Here is a 22,152-nt window from a genome sequence, read left to right on the forward strand (position 1 = left end):
GTAACTGACAGAATACAATAGCAGCTACCATTGATTGCTGCTTACTAAGTGCTTTACAAATGTGATGTCTCTTAAATCCTTAGAACAACTAGGCCTGAGGTAACCTATAGGGGCCTTGTGCAAACTATAAACAGAACTTCTGCAAGATAGATGCTGTCCAGTGATCTGAGCTCAGGTGGGATGCTAGTCCCTTCTCACCTCTTCCACTAGGTTCCCTTGTTCACAGGCTGTACAACTGTACTTGATATGCCCATCAAGAATCTAGTTAAGATATCATCAGTCTCATTTTACAAAGGAGGAAACTGAGGTCCAGAGAGGTTAAATAACTTTTCCAAAGTCATACTCTCTGGAAGTGACAGAGCCTTGACTCAAAGCTGCATTTGTTTGTTTCTGAAATGCTGTTGTCTTTCTCTTATTCCAATTTGGCTTCTTGTTGTTTTGCCAAGGCCTACCAAATCTCCCCTTGCTGAGGCAATAATAATAGAGTTCCCTAAGAGCCTATTATTTCTTATGCATGATTTCCATATGGTCTTAGAAGTCTTCTCCTTCTTTTCTCTCCTACTAACATTGTTTTTGTTTGTTTGTTTGTTTGTTTGTTTTTTGAGACAGGGTCTCACACTGTTGCCCAGGCTGGAGTGCAGTGGTGTGATCACCGCTCACTGCAGCCTTAACCTCCCTAGCTGAAGCAATCCTCTCACCTCAGCCTCCCAAGTAGCTGGGACTACAGGCATGCACCATCACACCTGGCTAATTAAAAATTTTTTTTTGTACAGACTAGGTCTCGCTATGTTGCCTAGGCTGGTCTCAAACTCCTGGGCTCAAGAGATCCTCCCAACTTCCCGGCCTCCCAAAGTGCTGGGATTACAGGAGTGAGCCACTACACCCAGCCAACATTGTTAATAATATCAAAATGCCTATTTTTTTTAAACCGATGGTGTGATTTAAATCCAGATCACTTAAACAATACTCAATAAAAATATTTGTAAGCCGTATATAAATCTGCAAGTAGAGGTAATACATGTAAGAATGTTAATACATAAATATATACAAAGGCAATTTAATATTTTTTCTAAAATGGCTTTTCCATTGAGAAGATTTGCCTCACTGCTGTCTTTGCCCACACTATGGTCTTTCAAGGTCACTTGTGAATGGGAGTGTTGTGGGCATCAGTCCATTATCAACACCTACCAACTTCACCAAGCTGACCTGTCTGTGAGTCAAGCTTGAGTTCCTCTCCTCTGTTCGCTAGTCATAGAAAAACCACCATGAAGTCATTGGTGAGAGCCAAGGAAGAGATGTCAGTCAGTGCCACAGCAGGGGGCTTAGGGAGCCTGGCCACCTTTCCTGCAGCTTATCTGTGCCTTGTGCACCTGCTCAAGCACATTCTCCAGTGTACTGCTTCCTCTTACATTAGATTCCGGCTGAGCCCACCTATCCTTGTAACTTGGGTCTTTGAGATCATCTGGCTCATGATGAGCTGTTCTGGCCATATGGCCACTTGGTGTCCCGTGGTGAAGTCCTCAGCCTATAGGGGCCCAGTAGCCTGCCAGGAGCTGCATTCCACCAGTGTGGAATGTTCCACAAGCAAAACCAAGGGAGCCTAACAAGTGGTGTGCTTCTTTCTTACAAGTAGGCAGTGAAAGATGCAGCAAACTACTTTTTACTTTGAAGGGGCCATCAGTACATGTCCTGTCCTAATCTGGCAGGCCTCTGGATCTTCATAGGGTTAATGTTGTGCCCTCTGGATTATACATATCTATGAAGGCATCTACAGTACATGCCACATCTTGCTCATTATCATGTATCCTCAAAATAGTAGACCAATGTAATTTTTGTGAAATGACCAGATAGTATAGATCCCTATGACAGAAAATAAGAGAAGAACTAATATAGTCCTGGGGCAATCCTGTGAATTTATACCATTGTCATTTCCTGCTAATGCAAACTGCATTGATCCTCTTTTTTGATTGGTATGAAAAGACTATTTCATCAGATCAATGATGGCATACTACATACTAGAGGCTGTATTAATCTTCTCTAGTAAAGATATCACACCCAGTGCAGTAGCTGCAATTGGGACTACTCCTTTGTTAAACTAAAAAAGTACACAGTCATTTACCATCTGGTTTTTATAGATGCGAGAATGGTAACTCAATGGGAACAACTACCCTTGCATCCTTTAAGTCTTTGAGGGTGGCTGTAATCTCTTCTATGTCCCTTGGAGATGTGATATGGTTTTTATTTACTATCTTGGCTGGATGGGGATTTGGCAGTTTCAGGGGCTTCCATTTGGCCTTTTCTGTTACAATTGCTCTTACTCATGGGACTTATAATATTCTAATTAACAAGAAAGTCACAGCTTGAAAAACTAGATATTTCCATCTCTAATGTTATACAACATTATATTATATAAGGTGCATGTATGCTCACCCTCTCACCTCCTCCTTTTCACTTCAGTTACATTTCAGCAGCTCACTCCAGCTGCTCTGTCAAGCTGTTGTTTTCTGCCCTGAGGCTTCTCTGATGTAGTCAGTGGGACACCTGCAGCAGCCTTCTTAGCCCTTCTGTCAAATGTGCAAATCTGGAAATAGGAGGAACTGAACACCTTTGACCAGTGGGGAGAGAAGCCGTGGATAAATCCTTCCATCTTATCTCCCTCAGGCAGACAATGATGAGGTTCATTCTACATGGCTCTTTGGAAGGATTTCTAGAAAGAACACCTCAGTTTCCCATGGTGGTGGTCAGCTTTATAACCCATCCTTGATTTGGCTTTCCTTCCAGCCCAGTGTCACTCTTCCACCTCCCCCCTCCTATTCCTTGAGATCACTTACCAAATAAAGCAGCTGTTGTGAGATCTAGTTTCAGGATCTACACTGTGAGCTTGGTGTGGCACTTTTATATATAGAATTTATACATGTTGTTGTACCAAATCAGAAAACACATGTAGGCACTTCAAAGAAAGAATCATGCAAGATCCTACTATCTAGACATAGCTTTCTAGACTATTGTTTATGCATCTATTTTTCGAAAAATGGGAAGTACAGTAAGTAAAGTATTTTTGCTTTAAGAAAAAGTATTTTTTGTATTGTAAACATTTTATGTATTGTAAACATTTTTCGTTCATGGTGAGAACATTAAAAATCCTCTTTTTTTTTTTACTGTTTTGAAATATATAATAAAGTATTACTAACTATGGTCACCAGGCTATGCAATAATGGATCACTAGAACTTATTACTCCTAACTGAAACTTTGTACCACTTGACCAATCCCTCCCCTTTCCCCACCACCTCCACCCCCACTGGCCTCTAGTGAGATCTCGGCTCACTGCAACCTCCGTCTCCTGGGTTCAAGCGATTCTTGTGCCTCAGCCTCCTGAGTACCTGGGATTACAGGCGTATGACACCACACCCAGCTAATTTTTGTATTTTTAGTAGAGACAGGGTTTCACCATGTTGGCGAGGCTGGCCTTGAACTCCCAGCCTCAAGTGATCCACCTGCCTCAGCCTCCCAAAGTGCTGGGATTACGGGCATGAGTCACCGCACCTGGCCTTACCCTCTACTTCTATGAGTTTGACTTTTTTTAGACTCCACAAATAGGTGAGATCATATGGTATTTGTCTTTCTGTGCCTGGCTTATTTCACTTAGCATAATGTCCTCTAGTTCATCCATGTTGTTACAAATGACAGAATTTCCTATTTTTTTTTTTTAGGATGAACAGTATTCTATTGTGTATATATACCACATTTTAAAACTCACTCATCTGTTGATGGATATGCTGGATGTTTCCATATTGTGGCTATTTTTTGTTTGTTTGGTTTTGGTTTTTATTATACATTAAGTTCTGGGATACATGTGCGGAACGTGTAGGTTCGTTACATAGGTATACATGTGCCGTGGTGGTTTGCTGCACCTATCAACCTGTCATCTACATTAGGTATTTCTCCTAATGCTACTCCTCCCCTAGTCCCCCACCCCCTGACAGGCCCCAGTGTGTGATGTTCCCTTCCCTGTGTCCATGTGTTCTTATTGTTCAATACCCACTTATGAGTGAGAACATGTGGTGTTTGGTTTTCTGTTCCTGTGTTAGTTTGCTGAGAATGATGGTTTCCAGCTTCATCCATGCCCCTGCAAAGGACATGAACTCATCCTTTTTTATGGCTGCATAGTATTCCATGGTGTATAAGTGCCATATTTTCTCTATCCAGTCTATCATTGATGGGCATTTGGGTTGCTTCCAAGTCTTTGCTATTGTGAATAGTGCTGCAATAAACATACGTGTGCATGTGTCTCTATAGTAGAATGATTTATAATCCTTTAGGTGTATACCCAGTAGTGAGATTGCTGGGTCAGATGGTATTCCTGATTCTAGATCCTTGAGGAATCACCACACTGTCTTCCACAATGGTTGAACTAATTTACAGTCCCACCAACAGTGTAAAAGTGTTGCTATTTCTTCACATCCTCTCCAGCATCTGTTGTTTCCTGACTTTTTAATGATTGCCATTCTAACTGGTGTAAGATGGTATCTCATTGTGGTTTTGATTTGCATTTCTCTAATGACGAGTGACGATGAGCTTTGTTTCATATGTTTCTTGGCCACATAAATGTCTTCTTTTGAGAAGTATCTGTTCATATCCTTCACCTACTTTTTGATGGAATTGTTTGTTTTTTTTCTTGTAAATTTGTTTAAGTTCTTTGTAGAGTCTGGATATTAGCCCTTTGTCAGATGGATAGATTGCAAAAATTTTCTTCCATTCTGTAGGTTGCCTGTAGACTGATGATAGTTTATTTTGCTGTGCAGAAGCTCTTTATTTTAATTAGATCCCATTTGACAATTTTGGCTTTTGTTGCCATTGCTTTTGGTGTTTTAGTCATAAAGTCTTTGCCCATGCCTATGTCCTGAATGGTATTGCCATTCAGGCATAAAACTTCTAGGGTTTTTATGGTTTTAGGTCTTATGTTTAATTCTTTAATCCATCTTGAATTAATTTTTGTATAAGGTGTAAAGAAGGGGTCCATTTTCAGTTTTCTGCATATGGCTAGCCAGTTTTCCCAACGCCATTTATTAAATAGGGAATCCTTTCCCCATTGCTTGTTTTTGTCAGGTTTGTCAAAGATCAGATTGTTGTAGATGTGCAGTGTTATTTCTGAGGGCTCTGTTCTGTTCCATTGGTCTATATATTTGTTTTGGTACGAGTACCATGCTGTTTTGGTTAATGTAACCTTGTAGTATAGTTTGAAGTCAGGTAGTGTGATGCCTCCAGCTTTGTTCTTTTTGCTTAGGATTGCCTTGGCTATACGGGCTCCTTTTTGGTTCCATACGAAATTTAAGATAGCTTTTTTTCTAATTCTGTGAAGAAAGTCAATGGTAGTTTGATGGGAATAGCACTGAATCTATAAATTACTTTGGGCAGTATGCCCATTTTCACAATATTGATTCTTCCTATCCATGAGCATGGAATGTTTTTCCATTTGTTTGTGTCCTCTCTTACTTCCTTGAGCAGCGGTTTGTAGTTCTCCTTGAAGAAGTCCTTCACAATCCTTGTAAGTTGTATTCCTAGGTATTTAATTCTCTTTGTAGCAATTGTAAATGGGAGTGTGCTCATGATTTGGCTGTCTGTCTGTTATTGGTGTATAGGAATGCTTGTGATTTTTGCACATTGATTTTGTATCCTGAGACTTTGCTGAAGTTCCTTATCAGTTTTAGGAGATTTTGGGCTGAGACGATGGGGTTTTCTAAATATGCAATCATGTCATCTGCAAACAGAGACAATTTGACTTCCTCTCTTCCTATTTGAATACCTTTATTTCTTTCTCTTGCCTGATTGCCCTGGCCAGAACTTCCAACACTGTGTTGAGTAGGAGTGGTGTGAGAGGGCATCCTTGTCTTGTGCCAGTGTTCAAAGGGAATGCTTCCAGCTTTTGCCCATTCAGTAAGATATTGGCTGTGGCTTTGTCCTAAATAGCTCTTATTATTTTGAGATATGTACCATCAATACCTACTTCGTTGAGAGTTTTTAGCATGAAGGGGTGTTGAATTTTATCGAAGGCCTTTTCTGCATCTGTTAAGATAATCGTGGTTTTTCTCATTGGTTCTGTTTATGTGATAGATTGCATTTATCAATATGCAAATGTTAAACTAGCCTTGCATCCCAGGGATGAAGGCAACTTGATCGTGGTGGATAAGCTTTTTGATGTGCTGCTGGATTTGGTTTGCCAGTATTTTATTGAGGGCTTTTGCATTGATGTTCATCAGGGATATTGGCCTGAAATTTTCTTTTTTTGTTGTGTCTCTGCCAGGTTTTGGAATCAGTATGATGCTGGCCTCATAAAATGAGTTAGGGAGGATTCCCTCTTTTTCTGTTGTTTGGAATAGTTTCAGAAGGAATGGTACCATCTCTTCTCTGTACCTCTGGTAGAATTCAGCTGTGAATCCGTGTGGTCCTGGGCTTTTTATGGTTGGTAGGCTATTAGTTACTGCCTAAATTTCAGAACTTGTTATTGGTCTATTCAGGGATTCAAATTCTTCCTGGTTTAGTCTTGGGAGGGTATATGTGTCCAGGAATTTATCCATTTCTTCTAGATTTTCTGGTTTATTTTCATAGAGGTGTTTATAGTATTCTCTGATGGTAGTTTGTATTTCTTTGGGATCATTGGTGATATACCCTTTATATTTTTTATTGTGTCTATTTGATTCTTCTCTCTTTTCTTCTTTATTAGTCTGGCTAGTAGTCTATTTTGTTAATCTTTTCAAAAAAGCAGCTCCTGGATTCATTGATTTTTTGGAGGGTTTTTCGTGTCTCTATCTCCTTCAGTTCTGCTCTGATCTTAGTTATTTCTTGTCTTCTGCTAGCTTTTGAATTTGTTTGCTCTTGCTTCTATAGTTCTTTTAATTGTGATGTTAGGGTGTTGATTTTAGATCTTTCCCACTTTCTCCTGTGGGCATTTAGTGCTATAAATTTCCTTCTAAATACTGCTGTAGCTGTGTCACAGAGATTCTGGTACATTGTATCCTTGTTCTCATTGGTTTCAAAGAACTTATTTATTTTTGTCTTAATTTTGTTATTTACCCAGTAGTCATTCAGGAACAGGTTGTTCATTTTCCATGTAATTTTGCAGTTTTGGGGGAATTTCTTAATCCTGAGTTCTAATTTGATTGCACTGTGGTCTGAGAGACTGTTATGATTTCCATTCTTTTGCATTTGCTGAGGAGTGTTTTACCTCCAATTATGTGGTCAATTTTAGAATAAGTGTGATGTGGTGCTAAGAAGAATGTATATTCTATTGATTTGGGTAGAGAGTTCTGTAGATGTCTATTAGGTCCGCCTTGGTCCAGAACTGAGTTCAAGTCATGGATATCCTTGTTAATTTTCTGTCTCATTGATCTGTCTAGTATTGACAGTGGGGTGTTAAAGTCTCCCACTATTATTGTGTGGGAGTCTAAGTCTCTTTGTAGGTCTCTAAGAACTTGCTTTATGAATCTGGGTGCTCCTTTATTGGGTGCATTTAGGACAATTAGCTCTTCTTATTGAGTTGATCCCTTTACCATTGTGTAATGACCTTCTTTGTCTCTTTTGATCTTTGTTGGTTTAAAGTCTGTTTTATCAGAGACTAGGATTGCAACCCCTGGTTGTTTTTTTGTTTGTTTGTTTGTTTTTGTTTTGGGTTTTTTTTTTTTTTTTTTTTTTTTTTTTTGCTTTCCATTTGCTTGGTAAATCCTCCTCCATCCCTTTATTTTGAGCTTATGTGTGTCTTTGCATGTGACATGAGTCTCCTGGATACCGCACACCAATAGGTCTTGACTCTTTATCCAATTTGCCAGTCTGCATTTTTTAATTGGGGCATTTAGCCAATTTACATTTAAGGTTAATATTGTTATGTGTGAATTTGATCCTGTCATTATGATGCTAACTGGTTATTTGCCTGTTAGTTGATGCAGTTTCTTCATAGTGTCAATGGTCTTACAATTTGGCATGTTTTTGCAGTGGCTGGTACTGGTTGTTCCTTTCCATGTTTAGTGCTTCCTTCAGGAGCTCTTGGAAGACAGGCCTGGTGATGACAAAATCTCTCAGCATTTGCTTGTCTGTAAAGGATTTTATTTCTCCTTTGCTTACGAAGCTTAGTTTGGCTGGATATAAAATTCTGGGTTGAAAATTATTTTCTTTAAAAATGTTGAATATTAGCTCCCACTCTCTTCTGGCTTGTAGGGTTTCTGCAGAGATATCTGCTATTAGTTTGATGGGCTTCTTTTTGTGGGTAACCCCACGTTTCTCTCTGGCTGCCCTTAACATTTTTTCCTTCATTTCAACCTTGGTGAATCTGATGATTATGTGTCTTGTGGTTGCTCTTCTCAAGGAGTATCTTTGTGATATTCTGTGTATTTCCTGAATATGAATGTTGGCCTGCCTTGCTAGGTTGGGGAAGTTCTCCTGGATAATATCCTGCAGAGTGTTTTCCAACTTGGTTCCATACTCCCCGTCACTTTCAGGTACACTAATCAGACATAGATTTGGTCTTTTCACATAGCCCCATATTTTTGAAGGCTTTGTTCATTCCTTTGGATTCTTTTTTCTCTAATCTTGTCTTCACACTTTATTTCATTAAGTTGATCTTCAATCTCTGATATCCTTTCTTCTGCTTGATTGATTCGGCTATTGATACTTGCGTGTGCTTCATAAAGTTCTCGTGCTGTGTTTTTCAGCTCCATCAGGTGATTTATGTTCTTCTCTAAACTGGTTATTCTAGTTAGCAATTCCTCTAACCTTTTTACAAGGTTCTTAACTTCCTTGCATTGGGTTAGAACATGCTCCATTAGCTTGGAGGAGTTTGTTATTACACACCTTCTGAAGCATACTTCTGTCAATTTGTCAAACTCATTCTCCATCCAGCTTTGTTCCCTTGCTGGCGAGGTGTTGTGATCCTTTGGAGGAGAAGAGACCTTGTGGCTTTTGGAATTTTCAGGATTTTTGTGCTGGTGTTTCCTCATCTTCATGGATTTATCTACCTTTGGTCTTTGATGTTGGTGATCTTTGGATGGGGTTTTTGTGTGGACATCTTTTTTGTTGATGTTGATGCTATCCCTTTCTGTTTTTTAATTTTCCTTCTAACAGTCAGGCTCCTCTGCTGCAAGTCTACTAGAGTTTGTTAGAGGTCCACTCCAGACCATGTTTGCCTGTGTATCACCAGCAGAGTCTGCAGAACAGCAAAGATTGCTGCTTGTTCCTTCCTCTGGAAGCTTTGTCCCAGAGGGGGACCTGCCAGATGCCAGCTAGAGCTCTCCTGTATAAGGTGTCTGTCGACCCCTGCTGGGAGATGTCTCCTAGTCAGGAGGCACAGGGTCAGGGACCCACCTGAGAAGGCAGTCTGTCCCTTAGCAGAGCTTGAGCGCTGTGCTGGGATATCCGCTGCTCTCTTCAGAGCCAGCAGGCAGGAATGTTTAAGTCTGCTGACGCTGTGGCCATAGTGGCCCCTTTCGCTAGGTGCTCTGTCCCAGGGAGATAGGTGTTTTATCTGTAAGCCCCTGACTGGGGCTGCTGCCTTTCTTTCAGAGATGCCCTCCCCAGAGAGGAGGAATCTAGAGAGGCAGTCTGGCTACAGTGGCTTTGCTGAGCTGTGGTATGCTACACCCAGTTCAAACTTCCCAGTGGCTTTATTTACACTGTGAGGGGAAAACTGCCTGCTCATGCCTCAGTAATGGTGGACGCCCCTCCACCCAGCAAGCTCAAGCATCCCAGGTTGACCTCAGACTGCTATGCTGGCAGCAAGAATTTCAAGCCAGTGTATCTTAGCTTGTTGGGCTCCGTGGGGATGCGATCCACTGAGCTAGACCACTTGGCCCCCTGGCTTCAGCCCCCTTTCCAGAGTAGTGAATGGTTCTATCTCGCTGGTGTTCCAGGCATCCCTGGGGTATGGAAAAAGAAATTCCTGCAGCTAGCTTGGTGTCTGCTCAAATAGTCACCCAGTTTTGTTCTTGAAATCCAGGGCCCTGGTGGTGTAGGCACCTGTGGGAATCTCCTCGTCTGCTGGTTGTGAAGACCGTGTGAAAAGCACAGTATCTGAGCCAGAATGCACCATTCCTCATGGCACAGTCCCTCATGGCTTCCCTTGGCTAGGGGAGGGAGTTCCTCGACCACTTATGCTTCGCAGGTGACGTGACGCCCCACCCTCCTTTGGCTCACCCTCCGTGGGCTGCACCCACTGTCTAACCAGTCCCAATGAAATGAGCCATGTACCTCAGTTGGAAATGCAGAAATCACCTGCCTTCTGCATTGATCTTGCTGGGAGCTGCAGACCAGAGCAGCTCCTATTTGGCCAACTTGCCAGCCACTTCTACTGTGGCTATTGTTAATAATGTTGCTGTGAACGTTGATTATGCAAATTATTTAATAGGTCACTCTTGTCATACCCAACTAAAACAGAGTCAAGGTACTCAGGGCTCATAACATTGCTCCAAGAATGTAATTCTCTGCAAACCTGGCTGCTGAAACTGCCTGCTGTAACCTGAAACCAGTTTTACCTAATGGCTACTCAACCTGCTGCAACTCTAAGATTAGTTTTACCCACCACCTTCACTCACCAGTCAGAGCTCCCCAGCTCCCCAGAACCTTCCTAGTGCCAGTGAACATTCTTTCAACACAATTAAGTAGGGGCTGGGTGTGGTGGTTCAGCCTGTAATCCCAGCACTTTGGGAGGTTAAGGCTGGTGGATCACTTGAGCTCAGGAATTGGAGACCAGCCTGGGCAACATGGCAAAACCCCATCTCTACAAAAAAGTATGAAAATTAGCCAGCTGTGGTGGCATGCACCTGTAATCCCAGCTACTTGGGAAGCTGTAGTGGGAAGATCACCTGAGCCTAGGGAGGTCAAGGCTGCACTGAGCCATGATGACACCACTGCACTCCAGCCTGGGTGACAGAGTCAGACCCTGTCTCAGAAAACAAACAAACAGAAAAACAATAAGTAACATTTCTTCTTTTATAAAACCTTCAACCTTCTTTTTGTTCTTCAGGCATACTCAAGGAGGACCACCCAGTCTATGTGTATGTCCTGAACTACAATTCTTGCTTCCCAAAGAAAATGTTTTGAATTAGCAATTTATCTCTAAATTTTATTTGATTTCGACACTTCGATGAACATGGAAGTGTGGACATCTTTTCCACATACTGATTTCAGTTCCTTTGAATACAGACCTAGAGGGGGGATTGCTGGATCACATGGTTTTCAGTTTTCAAGGAACCTCCATCTTGTTTTCCAGAATGGCTGTATTAATTTACAATCCCACCAACAGTGTACAAAGGTGCCCTTTTCTCCACATCTTTGCTGACACAATATCTTTTCATGTGCCTCCTTGTGATTTTTAAAAATGATTGTGCATGTATAGTATTCTATCACATAGTGCTACCACAATTGATTCAACCACTCTCTCACACTTAGACATTAAAGTTATTTCCCTCTTTTGTTATTCTAAAGCAATGCTATGATTAACACACATCTATTTAAGAAGTAGCAGTAGGCCGGGCGCAGTGGCTCACTCCTGTAATCCCAGCACTTTGGGAGGCCGAGGCTGGTGGATCACGAGGTCAGGAGTTCAAGACCAGCCTGGCCAAGATGGTTAAACCCCGTCTCTACTAAAAATACAAAAATTAGCTGGACGTGGTGGCAGGTGCCCGTAATCCCAGCTACTCGGAGGCTGAGACAGGAGAATTGCTTGAACCCAGGCGGCAGAGATTGCAGTGAGCCAAGATCGCGCCACTGCACTCCATCCTGGGCAACAAGGGCAAAACTCCATCTTAAAAAAAAAAAAAAAAAAAAAAAGAAGTAGCAGTAAATTATATCATAGTGGTTGAAAGCATGGGCTCTGGAGTCAAGCTGATAGATGAAAATTCCAAATACTCTACCTGATAGTTACAGAATTTTTATAAGTTTCTTAACATCTCTAAGCCTCAGTCTTATTGTATAAAAGTGTAATACAAATAGGTAATAATAATAGGTTATGTATCATAGGATTGCTATAAACATTCTAAGTTAATTTATACAAAGCACTTAGAATAGCACCTGGGTATAACAACCTTTCAATAAAATTTCATCATTATTGTTGTCTATTTCATTAGAATTAATTTTTAGGAGTAGAATTGCTTGGTCAAAGGGTGTGTTTTGTTTTTCTGTTTTGTTCTGTTTTGAGAAAGAGTCTTGCTCTGTTGCCCAGGCTGGAGTGCAGTGGTGGAATCTCGGCTCACTGCAACTTCCACCTCCCAGGTTCAAGCAATTCTCCTGCCTCAGCCTCCCAAGTAGCTAGAATTACAGGTGTGCACCACCATGCCCGACTAATTTTTGTATTTTTAGTAGAGATGTGGTTCCACCATGTTAGCCAGGCTGGTCTTGTGACCTTAGGTGATCTGCCTGCCTCGGCCTCCCAAAGTGTTGGGATTACAGGCATGAACCACCACACCTGGCCAAAGGTGTGTATTTTTGAAGCTCTGATATAAGTTGCTAAATTTAGGCTTGGTATTAATATTCATAAATTAATATTCATACCATCATTACAATCAATAATGTTTCTGTGGATGGAAATATGTGGATTGTTTTTCATACAAGAGGCTAAATAGAAATATTCTTAAAAACCTTGTATTTTGGATTTGGAAATAATGTCAGGAGTCACCTGTTCAATCCTGTATCAGTGAGGATAGGCTAGTGTATATGATAGTAACAAACAATCCCATAAGCTCAGTTATTTAAAGCAACAATGGTTATTTCTCACTTATGCTACATGTTCATTGTAGTGAAGTGGTTGTGGAAGGGTGGGTGTGTGCTCCTTATAAATCATAGACCCTGGTTAACAGGAACTCCATCTAGATAGATGCTTCCACACTTCCTGAGGCAGGAAAATGGGAAAATGGCAATAAATGCACTGGCTTTTAAGGCTTCTGCCTGAATGAGACCTATGTTAGTTAGTTCTGCTCATATTTCATTTGTCAAATAAGACATTGGCCAACAGCTAACTTCAACAGGGTTAGAGAACTATAATCCTACTCTGTGTTCAGGAGAGAAGAATCGGTGTATTTGTGAACAGCCTTAATGACTGCCACAAAATCACTTGGGTTTTGGTTTATTTTAATTTTTTAAATTTAAATGCTATTTATTTTTTGAAATAGGTAATATATTCACATGGTTCAAAATTGAAAAGTCACAAAATGTTATACAGTGAAAAGCCTATGTTTTTCTATCTTCTTCCTTCCCTGAAGCCAACCAGTGTTAATAATTTTCTTGTGTTTCTTCTAGAGATATTCTATACATATACCATATTGGCAAAAACACTCTGTGTGTGTGTGTGTGTGTGTGTGTGTGTGTGTGTGTGTGTGTGTGTGTGTATGTGCTGACTCTCCTCTGTTTGCCCTCAGATCCATTATCCACCCCTTATGGATCTGTTCTGTGCCCTAGGGAGTTGACATTTATAAATGCATCTCTCAAGTTCCCTTGCCCTCTCACTTATAGTTGAGTTTGGCCAATGGGAGACATCAATAGGAGATTGAAGAGCAGGAGAGGAGACTGTTTGGGCTACCCCTCCAACTCCCTCTGCTTTAGAGCTACAGTTGGGGCAGTGATTAAGTCTCTCTTTAAACACAGCTCTTGCTGGGTAGCCCTTCCTCTGGGTCTTCATCTCTCACAGATCTCTGATAACACTGTTCCTTTTCTTGCCCCATAAGCCATATGAATGTTAATGACTCCCTGCCATTGCTAGTTCATCCCTGGGGGAATCACCCTCTCTTTCTCTCTTATTAAAACAGCTTGATGGAGATATAATTCACATGTCATACAACTTACCCACTTAAAGTATACAATTTAATATCTGAATATCTTCTCATATATTCACAGACGTGTCAGCATCTCTTTGTATTTCCTTAAACTTGTTTACACCTTTGTAAATAGTCCCTTCATTGAATTTTCCTTCTGTTTCTTAAGGAAACAGAAAGCATACAGAATGCTTTCTGTTTTCTGCTGGGACCCTGTTCCAAGAGGGCAGCAACCATTCTGCGTTGTAGATACTAAATGAATATTTGTTTCTTGAATACATAAATGCATTGAATTTGTTAATTTGAATTTAAATTAATTATACACACAGTGGTATGCTGGCTCTGGCTCACACCAACTCAGGAGAGCCAATTGTTTAATTTATAGGAATTTTGTGAGTTGGTTATTAAACACAGCCATTGTTTAAAAATAACTTACTTTATTACTTTAATAAGTTAAATAAGTTATAAAAAGCTAATAACTACTAAAAATTAATCACTTCCAAATCATTTTACTACATTTCACTATTATCTGTGCTCTTGAGATTATTTGCATCTGCTGTATCCGTATGGTAGAAATACTATATAACGATGCACATAGAGATATGCGTGTCTCTTCCCAACTCTGTATTCCATGATGACATGTTGATATCTTGAAACTGGCTATTTTGGGAGTATTTTCACCACAGAATTCAGCAAATGATACAAATCAGGACTTAATTTTTTGTTTTGTTGATAATCTATTTTTTGTTTTGTTGATTATCTATTGATTTTTTGTTGATTATCTAGACTTAAGAAAATGATGATAAAAATGTTAATAATACAAATTAAACTTCAAAGTTTATCATTGTGAATAACTGAACAAAAAGTTGAGGAGTTATCCTTCCAGTATTTGAAATTAATATCTGATTCAGCAAAGAGATCATGCATGTCATTGATGTACCAGTGAAGCTCCAAAATATGTCTTTTTCATTTTCATCTTTTTTGTCTACCAGCATTTATGAATCTACACTTGTGGGGCTGGTTGTTGCATATTTACCAGCACAGTACTGTATATAAACAGCCACACACATCCACCCACACACACCCCCCCCACACAGAGTTTAGATGTCATTCTGTATTACCCATAGAGCTTTCTCAATCTTTTTTAGGTCTGCATTTAGGTACCTTATGAATGGATATTTAGACTGCAATCTTTTCCTGTTACAAAATAATGCTACAGTGAATCACTTATGAATCATCAGTATGATCATAAGTACATTTGTAATGTCAATAGCTATTGCTAAATTGCTGTCTATGAAAAATTTTACCAATTGATTGATACTCCTACAAGCAATATATGATATCTGTTTTCCCACACCCTCAGATGGATTATTGTTAATGTTAGTAACATTTATTCTTGGAGACACAATGTAGGAAGCCACCTTTCTCAGGAGCAGACTGATCATGCCACAATAATAATAACTGGCAGCTGTAAAGAAATATTTGCAAGTAGCCTATCTTGGAAATAGGCTCAGTACTGTTTTCAAGACTTCTGCTAAAAAGAGGATAGGTTAATAAGTCATTAATGTTTTGGCTCATTCTCTTCAAAAACAATATGGAGGAATTTTTCTGGTAGACACTGGAAAAAAGAGAAGGAGAAATGTCAGCTTACAAAAGAAATGTCTGTGTAAATACAATAATTACATGGCAGTGCTTGATAATTCTGTACTCAAGCCCCCTGGGCTCCATGTTATAGAGCTCCTCTGGGAAGGCAGAGGGAAGAACCAGAAAAAGGAGACTTATTTCTGCTAAGACGCAGCCAGACCCTCTGTGAAAGACCTACAGAACTTTGAGCACAGCTTCCACTTAACCACATGTAGCTATCAACCAAAGTTTGAGCAGAAAACTGTGCATTCATATAATTTGACTTGCTTTGCATTTCTCCCTTTCCCTTTTCTTTTTATATTTCAAAAAGAGATAAAAGTCTTCTGTAGATATAACTGACAAAGCATCAGTCCTTAAGGATTTAAGAATCTTAAGACTGGGCTGGAAAAAAATGCACAAGCAAAGAGTAAGACCTGCCTGGCCACATTTCCTTAGCCACATTGCTTATGGATTGTCAGACTTTGACTCATAGTTTACAGCTTAGTAGCTCTGTGACACTAGGGAGTTACTTGACCTTCAGTTGCCTCATCTATAAAATGGGGATAATAATAGTTCCAACCTCATGGGATTATTGTGGGGAAATGAGATAATCCATATAAGGTATTGAGCCAGTGCTTAACATATACATGCTATTGCTCAATGTATGCTATCAATTATTTTAATAGAAATATATATTATAAATTGTATGCAGGCTTATTAAGCAGTAGAGATTTCATCATTCACAACAGATTTTTTTTTCTGTTGCCTTTATGATCTCCTGAGTTTTAAAAAACGCACTAAATATTCCTATCTCAGACCCTGTCTCAGAAAACAAACAAACAGAAAAACCAATAAGTAACATTTCTTCTTTTATAAAACCTCCAACCTTCTTTTTGTTCATTGGTGAAGTAAAGATCATTAGTGAAGTAGATCTTGGCTAAATAGAGTGGCTGAAAGTAGAAAAACAGTGCACTTCACAACCACTAGAATAAGGCTTTTTTTCTGTCTGGCTTAGTTACATGATACAATTGAGTCTATCCAGGCTTAGTTTTAAGTAACCATTTATTTGGCTGAACAAAATTAGAGCTTGTGTGCATTTATTATAACATATATCCAGGCCCTATTTAATCTCCTAGGAGAAGAAATGTACTAAATGATATACTGATGTCGTGGAAGAGCTTATCCAACTTAATTAAGTAGACTCTTTATTCCCATATAGTAAGTTAGACATTCCGATTCTTTCCGATGATTCTGCACTAGAATTTAGCTGACCAGGGAGTTGGTTGTACATAGCATGGAACACCTTTCTTTTGCCCACAGTTTAATTATGTATGGAGAGTAGAAAAGAGCTTTGGTATGAAAGCCTAAATACAGTTAAGATACAATGAGCTGATGACAAAGATTCTCTCTCTCTTTCACTCTCCTTTTAAGTAGCAATGCAACTGCACCTGATTAGAAGACTGATCTTTGAAAAATAAGTTAAATTCAAATCAAGAAAAGTTTCTTGAGAACACAGTTATCTACAAGGTACTGTGATGAGTAGTATGAATAATAATAAGACAAAGACGTTAATGTCACTTCTCTCAAGAAATCACCATTTAAGGGAACAAACAAATAAGTCCAGACCAGATAGTAATAAAATGTGGGAAATGCTACACTAGTAAACAAACAAACAAAAAAATCATATAGGAACTGTGATGAAGGCACCAATTCCATCAGGGGAGCAGGGAGGAAGGTGCTAAGGGAAATTTTGCAGAAGTGACATTTGAATTGGATCTTGGAGGATTTCCAAGATTTTTGTGGAAAGCAGAAAGGAGAGAGATAAATAAACAGCATGAGCAGGAGCAGAGAACATCAGTGGTTAGGATGAAGCTCTAAAGATTTGCTAAGACCCAGTTATAAAGCATTTAACGGTCTTCTAAGATTGCCTGGGCTTTATTGTGAAAATAATGGAGAAAATTGAAGGTTCTTAGTTGGGGCAGGTTCAGGGACCTGAACAGGTTGAGTTTGGGGGAAGGTGCATAAGAGTGGGGACACAGGGCAATGTGCTGGCAGGGAGAGTGTGTGAACAAGGAAAAGGTCTTGAATTGTAACTCTGGAGAACATCTCGTGGCGGGTTGTGGAAGAGAAATTTATGAAGGAGGCTCCTAAGAACTGCCTTTTGAAAAAAGGAATCCTGAGACAAGCATAAGAAAGCAAAGAAAAAGAGTGATAAGGAAAAGGAATCGATCAGCAGTGTCAAACACCGTACACAGATCTAGAGGAAAACGAAAAAGAAAGCTATTTGGTTGAGCAACTAGACCATTTTTAGTGGCTCCTTTGAGACCACTTTCAATAGAATTAGTAAGGTAGAAACCAAATACCATGTCAGACAAGGAAAAATAATACTTGCAATGCACAGGAAATTTAAAGATAGGCAGGAGCTGATGTTGCATCTCTCAAGGAGGGTAGTATTTAAGAGCAACCAATGGAAATTATGAGAAATAGGAGCTAAAAAGGTCTAATCCCCAAAACCAGACAGACGAGAAACATTTGCAGAATGATGTCATCCTGCCTCCTTGGGTGATACCACTTTGTTCCTCAGATGTTTAACCCAGCCTGCATGAGTCAACATCTATATTTGGGCATAAGGAGAACTACCTTTTGTGCTATGTGCCAGTTCAGAAGTCTGTTTTTGCTAGTCTGGTTTAGCTCTGCCAAATTATTTTAGGCTTATGACTGCATCAACAGCCCATGGAAATTAATCTGTTTAATATCACATAGCTCTAATTCCAGCACACTTACTTCTATTCAATGTAATCTTAATTGGTTTTTTTCCCCTTTGCATTTGGAAGACACAAGGTTTATATTTACAAGTACATTCATAGCAGATTTTAAAAGGCAAAAGTGGAAATGTCAGAAAAACCATATATAGAATCCAAGAGCTTATATCAATTACTGAACATGACTAGAATAATAGTAATAACTTCTGTGAATTAAGTGCCTAGTGTTTGCCAGACAATTTTCATTGAGTATCTTTGATTCTATAACCCTAAAATGTAGCTACGATTTCCATCCAGAAAAGATTAAGTAACTTGATTACATTCACTCAGTCAGCAAATGGAAGAGTAGGGACTCAAAGCTAGACCTGACCCCAAAGCCCGTGGTCTTTCACCACTCTGTGCCCTCTTCAAAATATCATGGTGCCCATTAATGCAAAAGAAAAGTGAACTGGCTGGGTGCAGTGGCCCACACCCATAACCCAACATTTTGGGAGGCCGACGTGGGCAGAGCACTCGAGATCAGGAGTTCGAAACCAGCCTGGCCAATATGGTGAAACCCTGTCTCTACTAAAAATACAAAAAAAAAAAATTAGCCGGGCGTGGTGGCACATGCTTATAATCCCAGCTATTCGGGAGGCTGAGGCAGGAGAATCACTTGAACCTGGGAGGCAGAGGTTGCAGTGAGCTGAGATCTCACCACTGCATTCCAGCATGAGAGACAGAGCGAGACCCTGTCTCAAAAAAAAAAAAAAAGTGAACAAAGTCATATAAGTTATGTTTACAAGTGATGACCGAGATATTCAGTGGTAGAAGCTCTTTTTAGATGTAAATTACTCATCTAACTTTTATTGGGAAGTAAATATTTCAAAATGCATGTGGTTGACCAGACTTAATAGTAAATGACTCTATTTCTAATGGGATATCAGAGGAGAAGGCAAAAAAGGAAATAAGATAGAAGCATTACACAACAGAAACAATGTCTGAAGGAAAATTCAAAATTTAAGAAGAGCTGGAGATGGGTTCTTATAAGATCTCGTAAGATTATAATTTTTCTGGAATTTTGAACTATAGTGATTCATTCTAAGGAAAAGAAATCAGTTCACAGGAAAAGAATCTCCCTAAGATTATTTCCCATCCCCACAAGCATTGAAAAATGCTTTTTGCATATTACACAGAGAAGTTCTGCTTGTTTTTCTCAACCCCTCCTTGTCAGACCAGGATGGGATGGGGAAGGGTGGCTTACCTTTGTAGACCCCCTGCCAGAGAGCCTTCCCTTGGCATGGAATCTAAAGTAGTCTCCCAGACAATCTCTAGCACATCACTGAGTTATATTTTCTTCATAGCAGTACCTGAAATTATTTTGTTTACTCATTTTTTCACTGACTGGATTACCCCCACTAAATTTACGCTCCATGAGAACAGATTTTGTCTTTTTGATTCATGGCTAAACCTGAAGCACTCAGAACGGTACCTAAAACAATGCCTCAAAAAAAATTTACTGACTGTCTGAATGAATGAATGAGTTAATATTGCCAAGGGCACAGTAATGTGAATCTGCAGCTTAAAGTGGAGATCTTCACCCAAGAAATAAGTTTTGTATCTCTCCCTGAAGAAAGAAACAGTTATGAGGGTGGGGAGTTTATGTTCATGGGCTATTAAAGGAAAACTCAGAAAGATGGTGTGGTAAAAAGAAATATGTATTTGGTCTTTGTTCCAGTTCTTTTTGTTTGTTTGTTTGTTTGTTTATTTTTTGTTTGGAGACAGGTACCCTCCAGGCTGGAATGCAGTGGTGCCATTACAGCTCACTGCAGCTTAAACTTCCCCAGGCTCAGGTGATCCTCCCAACTCAGCCTCCTGAGTAGCAGGGACCACAGGCATGGACCACCATGTCTGGCTAATTTTTACAATTTTTTTATAGAGATGGGTTTTGCCATGTTGCCCAGGCCGGTCTTGAAATTCTGGTCCACCCACCTTGGCTTCCCAAAGTGCTAGGATTACAGGCATGAGCCACCATGCCCCGCCAGTTCCCAGTTATTGACATAGCTTCCAAAATTCCCGGAATTTCCTGAGCAATAGGGGTGATAAAAGCATCTTTTGTTACTCATTACAAGTTCCTTTCAATCATACCTAAATTTATGCTAATAAGGTGGTTCCTGGTGGACCCCTAGATAGCTTCAAGATAGGGGCTGGTTGCCAGGGGAGCCAATCATGTGATAAGAGGGCTGGAGTTTTCAGCCTTCCCACTCCCCTCAACCTCCAGTGAGGGGAAGGGGGCTGGAGTTTGAGTTCATTCACTAATCACCAATGATTTAATCAATGATGCCTGTGTAATGAAGTCTCCATTAAAAAACCTAAACAGGCTGGGCACGGTGGCTCACGCCTGTAATCCCAGCACTTTGAGAGGCCGAGGCAGGTGGATCACGAGATCAAGAGATCGAGACCATTCTGGCCAACCAACATGGTGAAATCCCGTCTCTACTAAAAATACAAAAATTAGCTGGGTGTAGTGGCGCACACCTGTACCCCCAGCTACTCGGAAGGTTGAGGCAAGAGAATCGCTTGAACCCAGGAGGCGGAGGTTGCAGTGAGCTGAGAGTGAGCCACTGCACTCCAGCCTGGGCAACAGAGCAAGACTCCATCTCAAAACAAAAACAAAACAAAAAGTCCCTAAACAATGGGGTTTGGAGAGCTTCTGGGTTGGTGAACACATCCAAGTGCTGGGAGGAGGGTGGGGACCCAAGGAGGGCTTAGAAACTCCTCCCCCATCCCCACCCACCCCACCATACATTGCCCTGTGCATCTCTTCCATTTGGCTATTCCTGAATTGTATCCTTTGTAAGAAACTGGGAATAGTAAGTAAAGCACTGTCTTGAGGTCTGTGAACCTGAGGAGAGGGTTGTAGGAATCCCCCTACTTTATAACCAGTTGCTCAGGAGTATGAATGGCCCAAACTGGCAATTGGTGTCTGAAGTGGGAACAGTCTTGTGGGACCAAGCCCTTAACCTGTGGGGTCTGCACTCACTCTGGGTAGATGGTGTCAGAATTGAATTGAATTGTAGAACACTTAGTTGGTGTTCGAAGAGTTAGAGAATGGATTGATGTGAGTGAAAACCCCATGTTTGGTGTCAGAAGTATTGTGAATAAAAACAATCAGAGATGGCTTACTACAAACACATGAATAGAGCTGATTCTGAAGAATCTCCTTCCTCCTAGGAGTGAGGAGTAGTCCTGCAGACGTATGTCCAAATTTGTCCTATCTTGGATTTAAGGCAAAAGCATTAAGGATTAAGTTCAAAGTCTTATTGTTCCTAAAATAGCAGGCATGTGAACATTGTGTAATGCTGTACTAAATATATGCAAGTAATTAAAATGAGTTATTCATATTCAGACCTAATGTGATGTTGAATGTATTATTGTCCAGTATTTTTTTGGCGGGGAGAGGTGTCAGAATTTTCAAAGCAATTCTGGACAGGGGAATGTTTTATGCTACTAAGGTCTTACAGCATGGAATATCCTCTCTCAGAGCTCTATATCTTGGAATGATTCCAAAAGACAGAAACAATATGGTTGGCACCCCTGGCTTTGGTATGGCTGAATACGTTAGGCAGATAACCTTTTTTTGTTTAAGAGTCAGGGTCTCGCTCTGTTGTATAGGGTAAAATGCAGTGGCTCAATCATAGCTCACTACAGCCTTGAACTCCTGGGCTCAAGCAATCTTCCTGTCTCAGCCTCCCAAGTAGCTGGGACTACAGGCACACACTCCCATGCCCAGCTAATTTTTAAAATTTTTTGTAGAGACGAGGTCTTGCTATGTAACCCAGGCTGGTCTCAAACTCCTGGCTTGGTCTTCCAAAGTTCTGGGATTACAGGTGTCAGCCACTGCACTTGGCTAAATTACCTTTTATTAAACAGTCCATTTATTGAGTTAGAAAACACAGCCAACCTTCACCTGACCTGAATCAGATAGTCAGAGGCA

The 22,152-nt window shown here is 40.3% G+C and overlaps 1 pseudogene, besides 2 other annotated features; it reads left to right on the forward strand.

The window, feature by feature from the left end:
- LOC124902904 (liprin-beta-1-like) overlaps window positions 1–22,152 on the forward strand; it is a 98,657-nt pseudogene that overhangs the window by 61,882 nt on the left and 14,623 nt on the right.
- Window positions 2,543–2,602: an enhancer, noted in NCBI's record as "active region_6132". NCBI's record gives its function as "activates an Ori minimal core promoter by ATAC-STARR-seq in GM12878 lymphoblastoid cells {active_cell/tissue: GM12878}" and the evidence as "EXISTENCE:reporter gene assay evidence [ECO:0000049][PMID:35858748]".
- Window positions 16,958–17,007: an enhancer, noted in NCBI's record as "active region_6133". NCBI's record gives its function as "activates an Ori minimal core promoter by ATAC-STARR-seq in GM12878 lymphoblastoid cells {active_cell/tissue: GM12878}" and the evidence as "EXISTENCE:reporter gene assay evidence [ECO:0000049][PMID:35858748]".

Source organism: Homo sapiens, chromosome 12, assembly GCF_000001405.40.
Source record: "Homo sapiens chromosome 12, GRCh38.p14 Primary Assembly".
In the NCBI taxonomy this organism is placed as follows: domain Eukaryota; kingdom Metazoa; phylum Chordata; class Mammalia; order Primates; family Hominidae; genus Homo; species Homo sapiens.